This window comes from Homo sapiens, chromosome 2 (assembly GCF_000001405.40).
Source record: "Homo sapiens chromosome 2, GRCh38.p14 Primary Assembly".
Classification (NCBI taxonomy): Eukaryota; Metazoa; Chordata; class Mammalia; order Primates; family Hominidae; genus Homo; species Homo sapiens.
In genome coordinates this window covers 87,156,563-87,178,807 of record NC_000002.12, presented here as the reverse complement: position 1 = coordinate 87,178,807, position 22,245 = coordinate 87,156,563, and the positions used below count along the sequence as shown (strand labels likewise).

The 22,245-nt window shown below is 37.7% G+C and overlaps 1 pseudogene across 1 annotated transcript in view; it reads right to left on the bottom strand.

Moving 5' to 3' along the window:
• LOC102724642 (anaphase-promoting complex subunit 1-like) overlaps positions 1–22,245 on the bottom strand; it is a 71,644-nt pseudogene that overhangs the window by 18,052 nt on the left and 31,347 nt on the right. The window contains exons 13-22 of the transcript NR_171620.1: positions 19,154–19,245; positions 17,057–17,191; positions 16,800–16,882; positions 15,780–15,858; positions 14,150–14,224; positions 8,161–8,237; positions 7,575–7,665; positions 7,420–7,473; positions 5,703–5,896; positions 1,574–1,660 (exon numbers count right to left, since the gene is read on the bottom strand). The product of NR_171620.1 is annotated as an anaphase-promoting complex subunit 1-like (transcript). The remainder of the gene's footprint in view (positions 1–1,573; positions 1,661–5,702; positions 5,897–7,419; positions 7,474–7,574; positions 7,666–8,160; positions 8,238–14,149; positions 14,225–15,779; positions 15,859–16,799; positions 16,883–17,056; positions 17,192–19,153; positions 19,246–22,245) is intronic.

Here is a 22,245-nt window from a genome sequence, read left to right as displayed (position 1 = left end):
TACACTCCAGCCTGGGCAACAGAGTGAGACTCTGTCTCAAAAAAAAAAAAAGAAGGATAAAATGAGACTTCAATTTTAAAAAGCTTTATAGACAGTAACTTCCCTCTTCTTACTCAAATACATTTATTTCTATAAATCTATTAAAAATAAAATCAATAAAGATCAGAAAAAATGACACTAACAAATTACATAAAGATTCTTGTCACCGGCCAGGCGCAGTGGCTCACGCCTGTAATCCCAGCACTTTGGGAGGCTGAGGCAGGCGGATCACAAGGTCAGGAGATGGAGACCATCCTGGCTAATACGGAGAAACCCCGTCTCTACTAAAATATACAAAAAGTTAGCTGGGCGTGGTGGCAGGTGCCTGTAGTCCCAGCTACATGGGAGGCTGAGGCAGGAGAATGGCATGAACCCGGGAGGCGGAGCTTGCAGTGACCCGAGATCACGCCACTGCACTTCAGCCTGGGCGACAGAGCGAGACTCTATCTCGAAAAAAAAAAAAAAAGATTCTTGTCACCAATGGAAAATGGCTTCGTTTACAATAGCTAAGCCAAATAGCTATGACCAGCAGTATGTGAGTGTGGCTCTCCACTGTACCCTAGCCAATAATTGGCTTTAACAACTCAAAAAATCTTTCCTAAATGACAGGCATGAGGCCACATGTCAGAAGTGTATTAACTTAACAATATTCTTGTGCTGCACCTACCATCAGAGTGTGGTCTTCAGATTAGGCTACTTTTGTAAAACAGCTATCTTTCTTCTGTCGTTGGTTATACATTGTAGTGTAGTTTAAAATGATGGCTTAGGTTACTGTGATAAGTGCTCCTGACCCTTCTCCCATAAACAATAAAGGGCTCTTGACCTGTCTCTGGGGAGACAACATGGGATGCCTTCAGTTGAGCACAGGGCTCAGGTGTCTTATAGGGGCTATTTTCTTCTCTGCCCCCATATGCAAGAGATCTGCTATGTCTCAAACTATATCTAGGGAAACTTAAGTGTTGGTGGTTCCTCGTACCCTAAAACACAGAGCTTTTAACTGCTTCTACATGGTTTGAAGTTCTACCGCTCACTGCCACTTCTAAATTGTCTCTGGTTTTTTGCTGTATTTTGCTTTTCTTGTCCCGTCTATGTCATTTATACACAATTTCTCGGCATCTATGTGAAAGGAAAAAAAGAAACTCATACAGACATTGCCACTAAATCAGACAAACTTTTCTCTTGGAATTAAATAATTAGAGCACAAAAAAAGTATCCTGAACTTCCCTTGGCAACTATCCTTTACCTGATGATTTTTTCCCTAAAGACAACTTTACTTGATCTCCTTTTGGGTTTAGAGCAGTTCTATAGATCTGAGAATGGTGGAAGACTGGTCAGTCATCAGGTGTCCAAAGTTATCCTCTGGTCTAATACTTTGTGAGATAATTTTCTTAAAAGATTTAGCCAGGAATATAACTAAGTTGAAGAACAAAACAATGCTAATTTGGAAATAATTCCATGAAACCAAAATACAACCAAATGATCCCCTTAGAGAACTTAATAAGTATCACATTGAAGACAGAATCACTAGACTCACCGGTTGTCAGTGCTGTGAGCTGGGAAGTGCGGATAAAGGGCACAGAGAAGAGCGGCAATGGAAGAATTTGATGTGCTCAAAGAGTAACTGCAAAGTAAGTTCGGTGGGGACAGATGTTATTGATTATATTGCACATACTTTCAAGGCATTCTTGAGAATCAGGAAACTGGGGTATAATAGTAAGGCATACTGATAAGATGCCCTCATAATACAAGAGTGTCAGTGGTGTGAACATTCCACTTTTCATTTAGTCCTTGGGCCATTTCAAGATCATCACTATTTAAAGCCAAAGTAATATCCCATAAATGTTAAATTTCAACCCTTGAAGCAAGGTTTTAACATAAAATAGCAGAGTAGTGAAGACCATGAATGCAGTCCTAGAAATTATAAATATTGAAGAGTCATGTACCAAGTATGCCACCTTCTTATCCAATTTTATTAATGTATATGCCTATGTATATGCCTATGTATATAAATATACAATTATAAATCTGAGTTTTAAAAATACAGAATGTTGTAATTGGTATTTAAACAGTTTTTTTCTGTTTCTGTGAAGCATGATGATTCCTTTAGAATGACTGACTAAATGAAAAGGCAAAAGTTATCATTAAAAAGTTACAACGAGGCCATGCGCGGTGGCTCACGCCTGTAATCCCAGCACTTTGGGAGGCCGAGGCGGGCGGATCACGAGGTCAGGAGATCGAGACCATCCTGGCTAACACGGTGAAACCCCATCTCTACTAAAAATACAAAAAATTAGCTGGGCGCCGTGGCGGGCGCCTATAGTCCCAGCTACTTGGAAGGCTGAGGCAGGAGAATGGCGTGAACCCGGGAGGCGGAGCTTGCAGTGAGCCGAGATCCCACCACTGCACTCCAGCCTGGGCGAAAGAGCGAGACTCCTTCTCAAAAAAAAAAAAAGTTACAATGACTGTATAAACAACTATTCCTCTAAATATAAATTCTTTCCTCACCAATATGATACACTTTTAAGATAAAGTTTCATAGACTTTAAAAATATTCTCTTGGTAAAGGGTCTATTAAAATTTTCCTTAAATTACTTTATTGTTGCTCAAATTTAGTATAGCAAACAGGCAAATTAATCTAAAGTCCCAGAGTTTTTCTAAAAAATATTTTGAAATAAAGATGGTGTAGGACATCACATAAAACCACTTCTAAAACTATTGAGTATAAATACTTTTCTTACACACAAACATGCACACACATATACCCAAATCTCTTTCCCTGTCTTTTAAAATAATTGGAGTATTAAATAAGGACTTATAATTCATTATATATGCTTATATATTTAATGGATTAGAAAGAAGAGATTTCAAAATTTAAGCAAAGAGATACATCTATTTTGGCATGTGCATGGAATAAGCCATTTTCTTTGTACCCTTTTGATAAACCAAAATTCAAAGATAAATATTAAGATACTAATGTTAGAAATTTTGGGTAGAAACATAATGGTGTAGCTATGCTAAGTTTAAATGTTGTTACAGAGTATACATGACCATTTAAAAACCAAAAATCACTAGAAAAGCAGTAGCAGAATGGTAGAAAAATCAATTCGATATGAAAGAAGAGCGAGGAGAGTCATACAGTTTGGAACAATGAAAGATGGGATTAAGAGACACGGAGAGGCTCATTTTGAAAGGAAAAAATTTTCAAAAATCATAGAATAAAATAAATAAGAATTTTCATAGTAATATTTCTTTGACCATTATTAATTCTAAACAATTAAAGAAAGACAATTCCACAAAACATGTTGAGAGGAAATACACACCTTTCTGATCAACTTTACTTTTTGTACTTCTGAAAAGGTGAGTTCCAATGGTAAGCTCAGCCTTAAAGAAGAGGGGAAAATTAGCCTACACAGACACTGTAGCCATTGATCAAGGTCACACACACTACAGCTAAATATATACAGGGGTATACCATATTCACAGAATGGAAGACAATACTGTAACAGATTCTAATCTCCTTAACACAGACACATACAATCAAGGCAATTCTGATCAATATTTTATCAGATTATTTAGTATGGAACAGATTCCAATATTTATATGAAAATGCAAGGAGCCAAGAGAAAAACACACTTTTGAAGAAGAAAACCGAGTTTGAAGGATTTACTCAACTGGATACCAAGACTCATAAGACAATGGAGTATTGGTGCAAGTACAGAAAAACAGACCAGCAAAACCTAATAGCCCAGAAATAAACACAGGTGTATAGGCACTTAACTTATATAATAGATGTGGTACTGCAGAGTAGTGGAGAAGGAGAAACTTTTCAATAGCAGCGGGAAAAAAACATGGAGAAAAATCCGTGCCAGGTAGATTTTAGATTCAAATGTGAATGGAAAAGCTAAAAACTTCTAGAAGATAAGATAGGAGAATATCTCCTTTTCTCTGGGTAAGAAAATATTTCATAAACAACACAAAGAAGTAAAAACTATAAAAGAAGAACATTAATAATTGTGTCATCAAAAGACACCACTGAGAGAGAGTGAAAAGGCAAACAAGCCCTAGGGTGGCAAAGATAGCTGCAACAAACAAAGCTGACCAAGGGCTTAGGACATAGTTTAAAGAATCCACAGAAATCAATACAAAGCTAAACCAATGTGGAGCAGTCAACCTCATCAAAACAGAAAGTAGAATGGCGGCTGCCAGAGGCTGGTGGGAGGGGCAAACAGGGAGTTGTTCAATGGCTATAGAATGTCAGTTTTGCAAGATGAAAAATTTCTGGAGATTGGTTGCACGGCAGTGTGAATATAATTAACACTACTTAATTGCATACCTAAAAATTGATAAGTTTTACGTTATGTGTATTTTACCACAAATAAAAATTTTAACATAGATAAATACAAAAACTGGGTAGCAAGAGATTTGGACATCACAAAAGAGGTTTTGCAGTTGGCTATTAAAAGTGTAAAATGGTACTCAAGAACATTATTCAGAAATACAGAAATTAAAGCCACAATGAGATCCTGTTATATACCTACTAGTTGGCTAAAACTAAAAAGACTACTAAAAAGACTATACCAATAACAAGGGTTGACAAGGATATGGAACAACTGGAACTTCACATCCTGCCCATGAGTATGTAAAATGGTACAAGTGCACTGCAGCACTGATGGTATTATTCACTGAAAGTGAATACACACGTACAACCTATGACCCAATTCCACACAGTTCTATATACAACAAAATCGAAGACATGTACAACTTTCCCTAACAGCACTGTTCATAACAGCCCCAAACTAGAAGCAAGAAGCATATCCATCAATGGGGGAGATCAATAAAATGTGGTACAGTCATACAATGAAAGTGTAATACAACACTGAAACTTGAATAATCCATTGCTACATACAACATGAATCTTACAAACATAATGTTGAGCAAAAGTAAAGTGCAAAAGGATACATCGTGTATAATTCAATTTAAATGTCAAAAACAGGCAAAATCAACGTAAGGTGTTAGAAGACTAGATAGGGCTATCTTTGGGGAAAGGAAGATAATAGTGATTGAGAGGGGTGCATGGCAGAAGCAGAGACGGGTGCTGTGAGTTGAAAGTGCTATACAGAATCTTGATCTACATGATAACAAAGAGATTTTTCTGTGGTAGATAGCTCTTTGACCTGTGCACCTATGATTTATACACTTTTCTGTACATGGTTTTTGGTTCATCTAAAGCCAGGGCAGTCTTATAAAGGATGTAGTCAGGAATGGCACATGTTGGAAAAAGATCAAGAAAGCTGAAAACTAAGAAAATGTCACAGGATCTGGTAAACGATTTTGTTTGTGACCTTTCTGAGAAAGTAGCTTAGTAGAATGGTAAAATTTTTAACCAGGTGGGCACAAGCAGTAATGCACTGAAGAACAGAGCACAGACTATTCTGAGAAATACAGTGATGCTCAGTGTGTCAGAGAGGATGGTAATTCTACTGAGTAGACCATAAGTTGACGGTTAAACTACAAAGAAGCCCATCAAGTCGAATAATGCTGCTAGTTAAGCTAAGAGCTAGTCAGAATTTAAATTTTTCATGTTATCTTCAAGATCAACGTAAGTCACCCTTATAGATCTCACCAATGAGATCTTTTCATTGGAAAAATACATATTCACTTACCTTCCTCCTCCCAAAAATAGAAGTCCAAGGGCCATGTGGTGGGCTAAGTGAAAACCATAGTTCATTTCACCACCCGTTTTCATGTGTAAGAAGCGACAAAGCTGCAAAACCTTTAGGTTTCCTGAGCCAGCCATGACCATGGGGAGAGACAGCAGCACCACGCTCAGACAAGTTTCTAGGTTATGAGGACCTGTCTGTCAGGTGAAGAGATGACATCACTATAACTGTTGTGTTACATTTCTTTATTATCAGAACTAGCTTAGCCATCATTAGAAGACTACAAAAGTTTGTAACTTAAAAAAAAATCTGGGCTGGGCACTGTGGCTCACGCCTGTAATCCCAGCACTTTGGGAGGCCAAGGCGGGCGGATCACGAGGTCAGGAGATCGAGACCATCCCGGCTAACATGGTGAAACCCCGTCTCTACTAAAAAACACAAAAAGTTAGCCGGGCGTGGTGGCGGGCGCCTGTGGTCCCAGCTGCTCGGGAGGCTGAGGCAGGAGAATGGCGTGAACCCGGGGTGCGGAGCTCGCAGTGAGCCGAGATCGCGCCACTGCACTCCAGCCTGGGAGACAGAGCGAGACGCTGTCTCAGAGAAAAAAAAAAATCTGTAAATACAAATATTTTCCCTGATTATGAAATATAAGTTCAACAGAAATAATTTCAAATATTGAATATCAAGACATAACAATCACTTGGAATGTCACACCCAAAGATAACTGGTGTTAACGTTTTGGCTTTTTCTCTGAATTTTTCCTTTACCTACACATATTTTTTCCAAATGAAATGGAGATGTTACTCTACACAATATTTTTAACCTTTTAAATGACCTATTACAAGCAAGCTTCACTCACAAAAAAAAGTTGTTTCTTTTTTGTTGTTGTTGTTGTTTTTGGAGACAGGGTCTCTCACTCTGTCACCCAGGCTGAAGTGCAGTGATGCAACAGCCTCAACCTCCTGGGGTCAAAGGATCCACCCACCTCAGCCTCCCAAGTTGCTGGGACTACATGTGTGTGTCACCACACCTGGCTAATTTTTTATTTTTTGTAGAGATGGGGTCTCCCTATGTTGCCCAGGCTGATCTCAACCTCCTGGGCTCAAATGATCCTCCTGCTTCGGTCTCCCAAAGTTGCTAGGATTATAGGCATGAGCCACTGCACCCAGCCACAAAAAATTCTTGTATAACGTGATTTTGGTAGCTCCACTGTGTAAGAATATATAAATAAACCATAATCAAATTTAATTAACTACTTTTAGACTTTTTTGATGTTTCTAACTTTTCCATATTATAAATAGTGTTGCATAAATCCATGTAGCTTTTACCAGGAAATAAAATCTCTCAGTCTTGTCATCAGAGAAGCAATGCCTCAAAAGCAACTGAATCCTTACTAAGTACTAATATTTTTTAAAAAGGAAATTCCCAATATTTAATACTGAGACAGAATTACATGAGGTATGACAACCCGTGAATATTATGGCCTTTTTTATTCTCTTGTCACAAGAACTAGATACCTGTGCATCCTTCCAGGGTAATCATATTCTCACCTAAGTTAATATCGCAAAACAAAAATAAAAAGATGAGCTAATGGTTCTTCAGATCTCTCATTCTACATTTAAAAAAACAGCAGAGATATCTGATAACACATAAGTAACTGGATCATCAGTAAATTTTTTTCAAGTTTAATTTTATTCCCAAGGAGAATGATAAAAAGACTTACAACAGAAGCATTAGGTGCAGACAAATAAGTCATAAAATCTTTGGCAAATTTATGCTAGAAAAACAAAAGAAAAAATTCCAAGTTATAAGAAGCATCTTAAAGCTTTGTTAAAACAAACAAAAAAAAAGAACACAGTAAACTAAAATACTTCTTACCAAACAGTTAAATGCTGGTAAGTTTTCTGAGCCAGCAAATCAAAAACCCAGAGACAAACAGGCTCCTGCAATTATGTAGACATGTGCTTGGCTGAAAACAGGTGACAAGAAATTTAATAATCATTATTTTACTTTAAAATTAACTTGAAATAAGTAACAATAAATATTCCAGTTCTCTAAGCTAGTTTATATCTTTCTGGGAATGATGAAGTGCCCTCAGTCAGCAGATTTCTATGTATTTTTTTTTTCAGCAGAAGCATCGGGTCACCTTACTCATGAAGTTTGCCCCTTGCCTACAGTTTCATATGCAGCAAAAACAATTTTTAAAATTGTTGCCAATTTCTTTAATGGAAAGGATAAAAAACAAATACATACAAGTTAAATCTCCAATATTGCTTTTTGAGGGCAAGAGCTCTGTACTTCAGAGAGCTTTAACCAACGTCATGAACATCTGATAAATAATGGTTAGAAACATGTGGGATTCATAATTACTTAAATCAAGGACAATATTACTCCCACATGGTATATTTCAATTTAATTATCTGATAGACGCTAGGATAGCTAATTTGCATTATACATCACTTACGACAAAGTTTCCAAATTCAAATCCTCTGAGCACGGCAATTCGATTTCACTGAGAGAGATACTATTTTCTCTTATAATCTGTCAATATAGAAAGCAAGAATACTTAGATATCAATGTTCTCATTACAAATATTTAATAATCTGAAGAATAACATACTGCTTATCATGGCTATATTTATACAAAGTAAGCTTTACCAAACCGTTTCACTCAAAAGCCTATATTTTAATCTCATTGAATGTAATCAAATTTCAAATCTAAGATGGGCTAAGTAAGAATAATAATTAAGGGCAGGCATGGTGGCTCACGACTGTAATCCCAGCACTTTGGAAGGCCAAGGCAGGTGGATCACGAGGTCAGGAGTTCGAGACCAGCCTGACCAACATGGTGAAACCCCATCTCTATTAAAAGTACAAAAATTAGCTGGGCGTGGTGGCGCACGCCTGTAATCCCAGCTACTTAGGAGGCTGAGGCAGTAGAATCACTTGAATCTGGGAGGTGCAGGATGCAGTGAGCCAAGATCACGCCACTGCACTCCAGCCTGGGTGATAGAGTGAGACTCCATCTCAAAAAAAAAAAATAATAATAATAATAATTAAATAGGGCTGAACAAATATAAACAGGAAGACGTAAGTATATTCTAAATCAGTAACAGGGTCATAATATTGCATACCAGTCAACTGAAATACAAAGATGATGGCTTTAGAATTGGGGCAGGGGTGAGGGGAAGAAGTGGGAAAAGAGAAATAGGAGACAACTCTAATCAGACTTCTTCTTTACGGGATGTTTCCAGCATTAATCCAACATACCTACCACAGGTGAGGTTATTCACTAGGCTAAGATAAGCTAAACTGTCAATATGTTTATCAGCTATGTTACAACTATTGTTTAGAAAAGACATCCTTTTCCTTTTAGTATAGGTAATGAACAATTTACCGAAAAACATACACAGAATATCTAGCTGTAACAACCAAGAAGACATTTGATCCTTTTCTCCTAAAAGAAAAAAGCCAAAAAAGATAAAGCTAATGTTTGCTAAACATATGAATGTATTTAAGATTTATTCTTTTAATCTTCTGAGAAGATTTCTTAGAAGATTTCTTAACATTTCAGGATGTTTTCTTCAATAAAACAATAAATATTGGCCGAACACAGTGGCTTACACGCCTGTAATCCCAGCACTTTGGGAGGCCAAGGCAGGCGGATCACTTGAAGCCTGGAGTTCGAGACCAGCCTGGCCAACATGGTGAAACCCGTATCTACTGAAAAACAAAAAATTAGCTGGGCCTGTAATCCCAGCTACTCAGGAGGCTGAGGCACGAGAATCACTTGAGCCTGCTAAGTGGAGGTTGCAGTGAGCCAAGATCGCACCACTGCACTCCAGCCTGGGCAACAGGGCAAAACCCTGTCTCAGTCTCAAAAATAAAATAAAATAAAATAAATAAATATTAGAAGGCACTTATAATACAGTCTTCTTATGTACTGAATATCACCAAATCAAAGACTTAAAATATCTTTCTTCTTTTTTTTTGCCTTGAGACAGGGTCTCCCTCTGTCACCCAGGTTGGAGTGCAGTGGTGCGATCACGGCTCATTGCAGCCCTACCTCCCGGACTCAAGCAATCCTCCCATCTCAGCTTCCCAAGTGGCTAGGACTACAGGTGCACACCACCATGCTTGGCTAATTTTTGTATTTTTCTGTAGAGATGGGATCTCACTATGATGCCCAGGCTGGTGTTGAACTCCTGGGCTTAAGCAATCCACCCTCCTTGGCCTCCCAAAGCGCTAGGATTATAGGCGTGAGTAACCGCACCCTGTATGTAAAGCTTTTTATGAAAGAAAAAGTACTATGAAGATGCTAGTTGTTATTTTACATATGCCCTAAGTTCAAACAGACAAGCAGTTTACAAAGTGACCTTTAAAAAAAAAAATCCTCCTTTTAACGCTAGGTTGCTCACTACAAGGAACCCTGCTCCAGAATCAATGTAGCTCCAGATGAGAACCCAGAGAAAAGTGGAAGCTGATAGGAAATATCAATCAGGAGAACTGTGAAATTGTTATCTCTCCTATTTGCAGTATCCCTGATGTAATAAAGACCAAATATAACATTATAAAGTCTGAAGTAAAAAAGAGAGAGATGTTATTCTATACTAAAAGTCCAAAAACCATATTTTCATAAAAACAAAAAACGACCACTGTTTTTTGTGTTTTTTTGTTTGTTCGTTTGTTTTTTGTAGAGACAGGGTTTCACCACACTGGCCAGGCTGGTCTCGAACTCTGACCTCGAGTGATGTGCCCACCTTGGCTTCCCAAAGTGCTGGGATTACAGGCACGAGTCACCACACCAGGCCGCAAAAAAGACCACTCTCTGACATGAATTTATACTTTCCACTTTGGAATTACAGTTACTTGTACACATGTTTAATCTCAGTAAGCTGAACTTAGTGCATTTAATAAACTAAAGTTTTTTGAGAACACTCTATATGTCTGATGTATCTTTAATGTATTACAGAGTTTAGCACGTGCCTTGCATTTACAGAGGATTCATGAGTATGTGCTGAATGAAGGAGTGAAAGAAAAAGTATTTCATCCTACAATATACATTTCAAAGAGCACTTTCAAAAAAACTAAAATCTCTGACATCTGAATATGCTAGAGTTAAAATTATGGTAACAAATGAGCGAGTCATTTAAAACAATTCTTCCTCACCTCTTTCATATCAGTGATTAACAAAACTGGAAGAACTAAACAAATAAAAACAAACCTAGGAGTTCTACTTCCTCAAATAATAGATGAATAAATTCCTATCAGATCAACTCATACACCAAGTGTAAACCCTAGACAAAATATAAAATCCAAACTATCTATGGCAGGGGTCGGTAAACTATTTCTAAAAGGGTCAAATAGTAAATACCAGCAACTACTGATCTATGCATTTGTAACAAAAAACAGCTACAGACAATAAGTAAACAAATGGGCATGGCCATATTCCAATAAAATTTTCTTTCTAAAAATCAGGTGGGCTTAATTCACCAACTCCTGACCTCAAGACACTGGAGTGAGGACAAACGCAAGCAGATTCTAGAGGGGAGAGTCGATCCATGGAAGAGAGGAACACCACTAGATACATTTTCCTTTCTGCGGTTTCTGCTCTGAAAGCAGGTCTATCTGCGCCAAGAAAGATGGCAAAAGCTACAATTAAAAGCTCATAACCTTCTTGGCCTTAACAACCAGGATACAGGAAAATACCACACCCATTGGGAGGTGAGGACAGAATATGACAAAGGAGAGAGCCACAGAGACAGGGCCCCAAGCTCTGTATATAAATTCTGTGCAAATGTCTGCCTGATCCATGAACCATGTGTGCACAGGGCAGACTCCAACAGCCCACAGGATAAAGACGTGCACCAAGATTAGAGCTAGCAACCAAGAAAGAATGACAATCTGATTCCAAGTAAATTAACCGGTTGCTTTAAAACAAAATGTATATATCTGTGTTTACCGTGCTTGAACTACAAACAGCGTGGTTTAGGCTAACACACATTCTCCTGAGAATCTGGAACTTGGGTACATACAAGGCAGAGAGTACCTTACCTACATGTCAGCTCCCAATTAAAAACTTGGGTGCTGAGTCTCTGATGAGCTTCCCTGGTAGACAACCTCAACATGTACCTCATATCATATACAAAATTACTTTGAAATGAATTATGTAAGTATACACAAAACTAAAACTTTGGAAGCTTTTAGAGAAAAGCAGAAAAGATTATCTTCATGATGGGGTTAGACAAATGGTTTTTTTCATAGGAATAGAGAATAACCATAAGAAAAAACTGACAAATCAGACATTATTTAACATTCTAATATCTTCTGCTCATTAAAATTATTACTAAGAAAATGAATATGCAAGCCACAGATTGGGAGGGATATTTGCAAAAGAAATCTGACAGGCCAGGCGTGGTGGCTCACGCCTGTAATCCCAGCACTTCGGGAGGCCGAGGCGGGCAGATCACGAGGTCAGGAAATCGAGACCATCTTGGCTAACACAGTGAAACCCCGTCTCTACTAAAAATACAAAAAATTAGCAGGGCATGGTGGCGGGTGCCTGTAGTCCCAGCTACTCGGGAGGCTGAGGCAGGAGAATGGCGTGAACCTGGGAGGCGGAGCTTGCAGTGAGCCGAGATCACACCACTGCACTCCAGCCTGGGCGACAGAGCAAGACTCCATCTCAAAAAAAAAAAAAAAGAAATCTGACAAAGAACGGGTTTCTAGAATGCATTAAAAAAACTCCAGCAACGCAGTAATAAAAATACAAATTTTTTTAAAAAATAAGCAAAAGACATGCACAGACACTTCACAAAAAAAGATAGACGGAGGACCAATAAACCAATGAAAAAGTTCTCAACATTAACAGTCAGCAGAGAAATGCAAATTTAAACAACAGTCAGATATCATTACGTATTCATCAGCAGCACTAAAACTTAAAAAACTAACACCATTAATTATCGGTTAGATGGGCAACAGCCAACACTCTCAAACACTGTTGGTCAATGTGTCAAATGGTACAGCCGCTTTGGGAAAAGATTTATCATTTCTAATAAAACTAAATATACCATCTACCCTATGCCTCAGTAATTCCAGCCCCACCTAATAGGATTGCAAATGGAATACACAAGTTGAGGATCCCTAATCCGAAAATCCAAAATCCAAAATGCTCAAAATCCAAACCTTTTTGAACATTAACATGATGCCCAAAGGAAATGCTCATTGAAGTATTTCAGATGTCAGAGTTTCAGATGAGGGATGCTCAACCAGTAAGTATAATTTCGAGTATTCCAAAATCCAAAAACGCTTCTGGTCCCAAGCATTTCAGATAAGAAATACTCAATCTGTACCACCTAATAATAAAAAGGATGAACTATTAATATACTCAATATCTTGAAAACGCTGAAAGAAGTCTTATACAAAAGGGTATATGCCATATGTGGCTTCATTAATATAAAGTTCTACATCTGGAAATTAACATATTTTGGGAGATAAACAAAATACATATTGGTTACCTGGGGGTACAGGTGAATGCACAAAGAGGGAAGGGGCACAAGGGATAGAGGCTGGTTTCCACAGGTCTATGTGTTAGTCAAATCTTATCCAATAGGATACTTAACATTTGTGCATTTCACGATATATAAATTTTATCTTAAAAGGAAAAAATGTAAATACCAATTCCAGTTAATATATATGGTACAATTTTGGGATGGAGTGTATTACTGTTTGGAACTAACATTGAAATTCATCAAAAAATGTTGGATTAGATAGAGGAATAGATAAGTGGATAGATAAGTGATGAAACATGTTTATACAGTAAAATATTATTATAGAGTCTATTGGTGATGTGGGTGTTCATATTAACTTCTTTCAATCTTTGAGATTTTTCCTCTGAAAATACTGAAAGAAACAATCTACATAAAGAAACTGAGACCACTAGACATGGACAGTTGTCTAAGGGCAGTGGCTAGTTACAATATTCGGTTTTCAGTTTTTACCAAAAAAATCTGTTCATTTTTAACTAGTATACTTGGCTTATCGAATAAATATGATATAAAGTAATTAAAAGAGTTATTAGGAGATCTAAAATTGTCACGAAGTAAAATAGCATCTTAGAAATGTGCACTTAATTATGACAAAAATATCAACACTTTTTTAGAGTATTCTGGCAAACATATTTAGTTTTTTCCTTTCATTTTTTAACTCCCACGCAACACCGATATTCATATTTAATTTTTAAAAACTACAATTTCTAGGGACCTGAGGCTAAAAGAGAAGGCGGTGGTCTGTGCAGCACAGAATCTTAAAATGGAAGTTCTTAGGTCTTTAAGAGGTATCCTAATGATCAATATTGCCTTCATAAGAAAAAATATTTTACAGAATTTTGAAAAATCCCATAAGAAATCATAATTTTATGCTACTAAAGATATAATATTTATTATATGTACTTACTTGAGGAACATTGCTGTCAACCCACTTGGAATTTGGTAAAATATCATCCCACAAAATCAGGCATCGAGCAAGTGTCTTAAAAATGCAACAGAGATAAAATTAATTAGAGCAAGTAAAGTTCATACATTTTATAACAATGATAATAATAAACAGAACAATTTAAGAATCAGTTCCCAACTGTTGAGAATTTTGAAAAATAAGTATATGCAAATGCAGTAAGGTTATGTACTGATAAACCTATTGTAAGTTGAAAATACCTTAAGCTGAAAATACACTTAGGCCAGGCTCAGTGGCTCATGTCTATAATCCCAGCACTTTGGGAGACCAAGGCGGGCAGATCACTGAAGGCCAGGAGTTTGAGACCAGCCTGGCCAACATGGTGAAACCCCATCTCTACTAAAAATACAAAAATTAGCCAGGCATGGTGACACACGCCTGTAGTCCTAGCTACTCAGGAGGCTGAGGAACAAGAATAGCTTGAACCCAGGAGGCAAAGGTTGCAGTGAGCCAAGATGGTGTCACTGCACTCCAGCCTGGGCAACAGAGTGAGACTCCATCTCATAAAAAAAAAAAAAGAAAAAGAAAATACATTTAATACACCTTGCCTGCCAAACAACACAGCTTGGCCTAGCCTACCTTAAACATGCTCCGAACACTCAAATTAGCCTATAATTGAGTGAAATTCTCTGTCAGCATAGTAAACTGTAGAGTATGGGTCATTTACCCTCATGACTGCATGGCTGACTGGGAGCTGCAGCTTGCTGCCATTACCCAACACCATGAGAGCATCATACTGCCAGGAGTACAAGAAAAAAATTAAAATTAAAATTGGAAGTAGTTTCTTCTGAATGAGTACCGCTTTCACACTATGGTTAAGTTAAAAAACCTAAGTTGGGAACCGTCTTACTCATTAAACTACTCATTAAAATAAAGATTTAAATTTTAACAAAGAAAAACTAAAATTGAGTTGAATATCACCAAAGTTTAGAGGGCTTGTGCGGGTACTTTTTAAAATGTACTCTGGAAAAGAAAAAAATCACAAAGGAAAGAATCATAGCTCTATCTACACATAATTTAAAAGCTTCTATATGCTACGTTTAAACATCAGAAAAAAAAGAATTAGAGGGAAAATTTTAGACAATTAAGTGAATTGTTACTTTCTTTAGATTCAACCTTAACAGTATTATCACATCCCTGATAGTAATCCAAAAATGTAAAACAAAGCAGTAAAAAAGTCCTAATCACTTGTTGCTTTTTAGGAAGTTTTGAATAATAATGTGAGACAGTGAAATGTCACTCCAAGTATTAAATATCAACGTGGTTACCTTTCTTGGGATTCCCAAAGTCCTATTTGTGAAATTTCAAATGAACACTGCCAATTAGATATGCATGACAAATTAAAAATAAAAGGCTCTCTTGTAAAGACATTTATGTTTGCCATTCATTCAGTCATGGAGAACAGCCTGTGTTGCCCAGGCTGGTCTCAAACTCCTGGACTCAAGCAATCCTCCTGCCTCAACCTTCTGAAGTGCTGGGATTACAGGCGTGAGCCACTGTGCCCGGCTTACAAGCTAAGTTTAAGAACCACAAATAGACTTCTCATGTTAACACAAATGAAGACAAAGCATACCCTAAGCAAGAGAAATTCTGGCTTCACAAAGTCCAACAAATACATGGTGTCAGGGGCTCGGAGCCAATCTGCAATAGATCTGGTGGTGGAGGAAAACAGTAAGGCACACTGTTCAAGTAGAGGGCAAGACAATCAAGAATCTCAAGCTCTATTTCAAAACATTTCTTCCCGCTCCACTACAGCTCTACATATTTTTCACAATACTTCACACCTTCTAATGTAATAGTTATTATAGATGTACATGTATGTCTTACTATAACATAAACTCCATGAGGGAAGATATTTTTAGTTTTGCTCAATGAAATATCCCCAGTGCCAAGGAAGCACTGCCCTACACATTCATCCAAATAGTAAAGTAATAAATATCTATTTTTAAACACTTTGTTAATTCTGCACACATTTACTTTTTCTAAAGGGAGAAATGTGGAACACTGAAAACTCCTTGAATCTTAGAATTTGTTTTTAATTAATAGACTTAAGACATGACATAACGTCTTGTACTCAACTTATTCCTCATGCAAAGTGTAAGCATAAATGCCAAAGATCTTACTTTCAAGCGTCAGCATTAATATAGCAAGTTAGGAAGGTAGACGGTTTGGTAATTACAAAAGCTCCTGAAGTAGGCAAAAACCATTGTTTTACATGGTAACCAAGATCACACTAAATGATAAGTATTTCTGGCTTAACCAGTCCTCACAGCAATATGCTAAATTAATGAAAACAAACATGGGCATTGTTTGGGTGTTACTGACATCAACTACAAAACAGAAATGAACAGAAATTGAAAACTATATTGTCAAATACCATTAAAATAGCCAAATACATTATTTCCAGGTAAAATCTTTATAACTTCAAATACTGCAAGTTTTCTTTCAAAAACTTACAGTACTTGAAAGAACAAAAAATCAGCTTAATCCAGCACAGGGGAAAGAAACACATGAGATAACTGAATTTTACAACCAAGGTCAGGGAGGATATCACACTATCACCGCGGGAGGAAGGGTGAGTGGGTAGAAATACCTGTTATTGGTTTTTAAGTAGATCATAGCCAAAGCTAGAGTAGCACCTGGACAAGTCACATCCACATTTATGGTATCTCCTTCCTATTGAAAGAAGAGTTTATGCATGTAAAAGAGTTCTAAATTATTATAAAATTCCTCTGAATAATAACTATGCTTAAAATTAACACATTTACCAATGTCAGTATGAACACTAGTATTTTCCAATTAACTTCCCAGCTTCCAGACTTTTGATCTATTACTTTGCTGTGTACTTACTTTGATTTGATAACTTGGTGATTTATGTTTCTCCCTATGCATTCCTGTTTGAAAGCGCCTACGTCCTCCAACCATGTACTGATAGAGCTGCTCAGGCACATTGAGATCAGACATACCTATCAAATTGCTGCCATGCTGGAAAAGACAATAACAGACGAGTGAAAAGAAATTTTATGAAGGAAGATCCACAACACATACCCATAACAAATATAAAAATGAACTAACTTCAAAGCAGGTTATTTTGGGTTTTGTTTTTTTTATTTCCAATTTAAAGCAAACATTAATCATGAGTTAATAAATATTAATAATTCTCATAAAAGTTTTAATACATGAATGTTCAACTTTAAGTACTGTCTTAAAATACATAAGAGCTTTAGAGTTAGTGACATTTAACAATAAAGAAAAATATTAGTTATATAATTGAAACTGGAACTGTAAATACCTGAATACTGTCATTATTGTACTTAAGAACTTTTCCAACAATAACTATGATAATAATAGTAATTTATTAAATGCATGCTCTGTGTCAGGCACTATTCTGTGTGTTTAACATGAATGAACAGCCATATCAAATAGCTACTATTAAAACCCTATTTTATAAATAAGGAAAGTGTGGCACAGAGGGATTAAGCCCAAGGTTATACAGCTATTATAGTTAAGTTGCAGGGCTATATATAAAACACGGCCATCTGGCTCAACAATCCATGAAGCTGATTAAGCAATACACAATAATGTAGTTAAATGACTTGACTCACTAGTTAGGACCAGAATTCAAGTTGCAATTCCCTGTGTGATTCTTTTCTTTTTTTTTTTTTTTTTTTGAGACGGAGTCTCGCCTTCTTGCCCAGGCTGGAGTGCAGTGGCACGATCTCGACTCTCTGCAAGCTCCGCCTCCTGGGTTCACACCATTCTCCTGCCTCAGCATCCTGAGTAGCTGGGACTACAAGCACCCACCACCATGCCCAGCTAATTTTTTTGTATTTTTAGTAGAGACGGGGTTTCACCGTGTTAGCCAGGATGGTCTGGATCTCCTGACCTCGTGATCCGCCCATCTCAGCCTCCCAAAGTGCTGGGATTACAGGCATGAGCCACCACACCCAGCTGATTATTTTCCATTATACCACCAGCCTCTTTAGCTCACGTGCCAATGTGAATTCAAGGCCCTAACAGATGGTCAACCACAAGGTGGATTTTCAGAACACACATGAAAAAAATTCCTTCCACTATAACTTTTTTTTTTTTTAAGATGGAGTCTCACTCTTGTTGCCCAGGCTGGAGTGCAATGGTGTGATCTCGATTCACCACAACCTCCGCCTCCTGGGTTCAAGCGATTGTCCTGCCTCAGCCTCCCGAGTAGCTGGGATTACAGGCATGCGCCACCACACCTGGCTAATTTTGTATTTTTAGTAGAGATGGGGTTTCTCCATGTTGGTCAGGTTGGTCTTGAACCCCCAATCTCAGGTGATCCGATCACCTCGGCCTTATAACTTTCTTTATATCATTTAGTTTGACCATAAGAATGTATTGGTGGTTTTTCAAGGGGAACCACATTTCAAGTGAAACAATCATTTAATGAAACATTTCTGGTAATTCTGTACACATCTCTTGGATGGAGTTAAAGATGGGTCAATCTGATACTGCATTTTGTCACAAGGAAGATGCTACTGGGACAACATTCTGGGATACACAGTGAACATCACTATGGCAAAAGGGGGTTAGGGTTTGTTTCAAGCAGCTACTATAGACTCTTAAGGCTCCCGATCATATACGTTTTCACTATTCTCTGTTTTCAGTCATAGTGGGCTGTCACTTATTCATTCTATGTCTTGAACGCTTTAAAAAAAAAAAACTTTATTCCCTTCAGTTTGTTCATGAACACTGCAAGCTGGAGGAAAAGAAATCTTAAAGTCCCACTCTTGACCACAGTTTCTCTCAATTTGCAAATCTGGTACTTTGAAAAATATCCAAAAAGACAATAGAGCTGGGCAGCAGATTAAGTCATAGTAAGGGACAATATTCAGGTTTAGGTGTCAACGTTATTTGTCTCAACATGTAGATGTCCTAACTGAAGCATGGGAAGGCATAGGCTATGCTTACCCCCAAGCAGACCATGCCCAGGGCCAAGCCAGCAGCTAAGGAGTATGACTCTCTGTCAGTGCAGTATTCCATTTCAGGACCAGGAGGCCGTCCTGTAAAAACAAAAGCAACACAGTTCAAACTAGCTTCTCAAAATCTCATCTCATAAAAATCTTAGAGTTAACTTTCTAGCAAGTTGCACTGGACATACGAATGGAATATAACTCCATTCAGAAAGTTATGACACTATAATAAATGGTGTCCACAACTGTAGGTTTACCTACCAAAAAAAAAGGGCCCAAAATAGTTCTTTTTAAATTGCCAATTTAAGTCTTTATAAGCAATGATATTCAAATACTGTGAAACTTTGAGTCTTACCAAAAAAATTACCAAGTAGTAGAAAAAAATTTTAAAGGGAAAAAGGAAAGAGTATTCAAAAAAAAAGTTTTATTTTTTTGTTAAAACATCTGGGCCGGGTGTGCTGGCTCATGCCTGTAATCCCAGCATTTTGGGAGGCCGAGGCAGGTGGATCACTTGACGTCAGGAGTTGGAGACCAGATGGCCAACATGGTGAAACCCTGTCTCTACTAAAAATACAAAAACTAGCCAGGGTGCCAGGTGCCTGTAATATCAGCTACTGGGGAGGCTGAGGCAGGAAAATCGCTTGAACCTGGGAGGCAGAGGTTGCAGTGAGCCAAAATCAGGTCGCTGCACTCCAGCCTGGGTGACAGAGTGAGACACCATCTCAGCAACAACAACAACGAAATATCTTACATTTTGTTTTCATTACTTTCAAATCCACACATCACATGTGGTGAAACATGTTCGAATGATGATAATGAATAAGGAGGTCACTTACTTATGTTGTTAAGCTGTTAAATATTATGTTTAGACATTTATTTCGAGTGTATATAATAATGAGCCCTACTATGGTAGAATTTCTGTGTACTGATCCTAGAAGTCTGACTGGATACAAAATTCATACTTTTAAAAGCACCCTATAACTCTAACACTACCTTGTTGAAAACGATAAAATGTACTATGTATTAAAACCCTTCCCTCTGAAAAAATGTTCACATTCCTGAAATTTTATCCCTATAGGAAAAAAATGCAATTTAAAAAAAAAGAAAAAAGGCTGGACGTGCTGGCCCTTGCCTGTAATCCCAGCACTTTGGGAGGCCAAGGCAGGAGGATCACTTGAGGTCAACGAGTTCGAGACCAGCCTGTCCGACATGGAGAAATCCCATCTCTACTAAAACTACAAAAATTAGCCAGGCATGCTGACAGACACCCGTAATCCCAGCTACTTGGTAGGCTGAGGCAGGAGAATTGCTTGAACCTGGGAGGCAGAGGCTGCAGTGAACCGAGATCGCCCCACTCCACTCCAGCCTGGGTGACAGAGCGAGACTCTGTCTCTAAATAAATAAATAAATAATAAAAATTAAAGAAAAAAATCACACAAAGGTAATCAGTGTAATGTTTATATATAACAACAAAGGATTATTAGAAACAATCTAAAAAGTTCTAAAAGTTAAAAAAAGGCATTTTACAGACCATCGACTCAATGAATATTACACAAAATTTGTTTTAAAACCCATTTATAACAATGATCTATAAAAACAATTTTTAGGCGGGGCACAGTGGTTCATGCCTGCAATCCCAGCACTTTGGGAGGCTGAGACAGGCAGATCACAAGGTCAGGAGATCCAGACTATCCTGGCTAACACCATGAAACCCTGTCTCTACTAAAAATACACAATAATTAGCCAGGCGTAGTGGCGGGCGCCTGTAGTCCCAGCTACTCGGAAGGCTGAGGCAGGAGAATGACGTGAACCCGGGAGGCGGAGCTTGCAATGAGCCAAGATTGCACCACTGTACTCCAGGCTGGGCAGCAGAGCAAGACTCTCTCAAAAAAAAAAAATTTTTTTAATGTACATTCTGACAGTAATTATATAAAAAGGCATATACATATGAATTAAAGATGAAATCTTCTATATACAGTGTGAAAGAGGTATGCCGCAGCTGTGAGACTGTGCAATGACACCATTAGACATCATCATGATATAGCCAAAGAAGGGTAGACTACTTTGCAGATGAACATGCTTTAACAACCAGTGTTGAATATTTTCAGAATAAGCGTTTTTCAGATCTCTGACTTATGCTACCATGTATTGTGATAGCCAAAACATTTCAACTTTGGGAATAATTTCATTTATCATTATAGTAGACTAAATTATGGGTCCCAATCTTCACTGGTTCTCTCCTAGGTTTCTATCAACACCACGAGAGAAACACACCCTCCAGCCTGGGTCCCAGAATGAGGCAGGTGAGGCAGAACGGCAGCAGAACAGCCGGCTACACATCTACAGCCTAAAGCAGAGCTGCCTGGGCCAATGCTATGCCTGTATGTATGTAGCATCACTGTGGCAATAGCTATCTGATACAATGATACTAAAGAATAATACATCTTTAACAATATATTCACAAATCCATATAGAAAAGATCTTGAATAGGACATATAAGTATGTAACTAAATTGTTGAGCATATTAATAATGCCAATAGCATTTCCATTTGGCAGAAAAAGATGACAACACATTAAGATTTCCAAAAAGTTTGGACCCAATAAAAAACAGAGACAATGTTCACTAAAGTGAGTGTGTGGACCTTACCATTTCCAGGTTCATCACCAACATACCCACCAGCATGTAAAGGAGGAAAGCAGGAGTCCATTACTTGACTTCTATTGGAAGTGCTGTTATCCAACACAGTAAACACTGTGATGTGTTTAGTTTAGTGTCTCTCAGGGACCAAAACAATCTACTCTGAGTTTTAAGTGCAGGCCACTGCTAGACACTGCTGGTAAAGCCGGATAAACAGCATACTCATAGCTGATTAAAACCACAGGTACCTCATTAAATGTGACCACTGGAATTCAGTAATGAGCTAGCAAATAAACATGGAGGTTAATAACCTGCAGTTACATTAGCCTTGGATAACATTACTTAGAGTTTTGTTGTTTTTTTTAATTAGTACTAGATCATTCTTTGCTCACAAAAGCTACCATTGTCTTTCCTTAATTTTTATAATTTTACTATTTAATTGGGTTAATGTG